Here is a 2841-nt window from a genome sequence, read left to right as displayed (position 1 = left end):
AAATAATGCTGTTCGGTCACTTTGGTTTTTCTTGAAACTACTCCAGTAACTCCTTGTCAGTTGAGAAGTAACATCGCCATTTTAAAAGATGCTTAAGATCTCAAATTCTAATTGAAGTGAACTCTTTCCTTCATATGCAAAAAAAAAAAAATAGTGAACTTGCTAGTTCAAAAAATATAAAAATCAATGAGAAAGATTTAAGGAAGCAATTAATGAGATAATGTCTAGAATGAAGTTTGAGCCCCTGGGAAGAAATGTTTTTATATCCACAGAGCATTTTTATCATTATGTTTGTTCATGAGCCATGAATACAATTGAATTCTTCTGTGAAATCAGTGCCTGGAGGTAAGAAAAAAGGAAGAGTCAATATTTTGTCTTTACGTGCCCTGGAGTTCTTTGTTCAGATCTATTTGAATATTTATTTATAATTACTAATAGAACACAAAACCTTTTTAAAAAAGCATTTGACTAATCTCAGGTTAAAGAAAAGTGGATCTATCAACCACCTTCATTTTTATCCCTGAAACTCAGGCCTGTTTTTGTTCTAAAATTGGACTATAATTTTTAGGTTGGCTTTAAATTATTTCAGAAAGATTCTGAAGCATTCTTTATTTGTACCTTCACCTACTTCTTTATTGACTTTGTCATTTATTTAACAGACACTGGATTTCTGTACACCATCCATCCCCCTAATCTGGTACACTGTCTCCAAGTTACAGATAGACCAGAAAAACTAAAATAGAGACACCTCCTAAATTCAAAGTGATCATGCCTGGTTGTCATTATTCTCCATTTGACTGAAAGCAAAGATCATAGAGAACTTTTCAAAAGCACTAGTTCAGCTGTGGAAAATTCTAATCTTTTCATCCCTTCAGATAAATACAAATGATGGAGAGAGTGAACAAATCATTTAATCCTGAAACCCGTATTCTAGAGCAGTGCTCCTCAAATGTTAAGGAGCATACAAATCATTTGGAGATCTCATTAATAGTGATTCAGTATGTAAGGGTGGGGCCTGAAAATCTGCATTTTTAACAATCTCAAGCAATGCCTAGACTTTTTATTCATAGACCAAACTTTGAAATGCAAGGATCTAGAATGTTTTAAAGTTTTTAGACCAAAGACATCAGTATTTGAATTGAGTTACACACTTGGAAAATATGATAGTGCACGTAATATATGAAAGTTTATGTCAGAGTTAGAACATATTCAAAAGCAAGTTGTCAATGTAAGGAAATTATAACAGATTATTTGCCAAATTATTCCTTTGAAAATGCAATGCACCTATGGTGTTTATATAGACATTGGAAAAATAATTTGATACTGCTGAAATTCAACCAAAGATTTTAATGGGCTTCCCAGCTGCAAAGTTTTTGACTCATACTGCTTATTTTGGAGTAAAAATAACTGCTGATTATGCAAATATTTGATAGAAAAATCTTTATCAACTGATTTCTTATTTTTTTAAGATATGTATTTATCTTTTTAAAGGTATTTATTTCTTTTTTTTAAGATATTTATCCTTTGAACTGAAATAATTTTTTTTTTTTCTGAAGCATTATTATGCCAGGTGTGGTGGCTCATGCCTGTAATCCCAACACTTTGGGAGGCCAAGGCGGATGGATCACTTAAGGTCAGGAGTTCAAGATCAGCCTGGCCAATGTGGTGAAACCCTGTCTCTACTAAAAATACAAAAATTAGCCTGGCATGGTGGCATGTGCCTATAGTCTTAGCTATTCCAGAGGCTGAGGCAGGAGAATCACTACAACCCGGGAGGTGGAGGCTGCACTGAATCAAGATCACAACACTGCACTCCAGTCTGGGCAACAGAGTGAGAGTCTGTCTCAAAAAACAAAAAGTCTGAAGCATCATTTTAATAATTTGTCTAAAGAATGAATCAGAAAAGTCTGAAAACAGGAGAGGAAAAAAAATTCTCCATAAAAGGCACCTGCTGCACAATCGCTCTTATTACTTTCTTAGAATTTTCTTCTCAATTTTTTTACACATCAAGTCCTACATACAATCCATGTGTGGACAAATTTGTAACCTGCTTATTTTTCATTAGATTATATCTTAAGCATTCTACACATTATATAACCTTTTTACATTATCCCTTAAGCATCCTTCACATTTTAGTTGATATGCCAGAATTTATCTAACTGTCCCCTTTCATTGACAGTTCATTAGGTTGTGATTTTATAAAATATTGTAAAGCTTCTAATGTATTGGGTTATTTTACTCTATTATAGTAATTTCGTTAGTATACAGTCTCAGCAGTGGTATTGATGGAGCATATTTTCAGAGATGTCCCAAATTTGTTAAATGATTGGATAAAATAATATTATAACCTCTAAAATATATTGGCAAAATATTTTCTTAGAAGACATAGCCAATTTTCATGTCATCAGCAGTGGGTGACAGCACCAGGTTTAGGCTCAAATGTCGCTTTTATTCCATCCTTCTATGACGCTCTAAAGTAGCTCACTGCTGCTTCAAATTCTCCACCACATCACCTCTTTTGTTTCTTCAGTAGCACTTTAGACAATATGAAATTATTTTATGTGTAAGCTTGCATGGCATTTGTCTCTCCCCTTCTAAAATATAAGAAGCAACAGTAATAATGGCAACAATGTTGTCTGTATTGCTTACTGCGTGGCACGTTATAGATACTCACAGGATATTTAACAAATGAATCCATTTTGCAAATGTGTTAGAGAAATAAAAACTGTGCTTGGTTCTTTTAATTTGCCTTTTTAAAAATTACTACCCTCATTATTAATTTATAATTAGTTGTCCCTTCCCTTTTGTGAACTGTTTCTTTAAGTCTATGTAAATGCAAGT

Source organism: Homo sapiens, chromosome 3 (assembly GCF_000001405.40).
Source record: "Homo sapiens chromosome 3, GRCh38.p14 Primary Assembly".
NCBI lineage: Eukaryota > Metazoa > Chordata > Mammalia > Primates > Hominidae > Homo > Homo sapiens.
The sequence above is the reverse complement of the archived record's forward strand: the minus strand, read 5'-3'. Positions refer to the sequence as shown.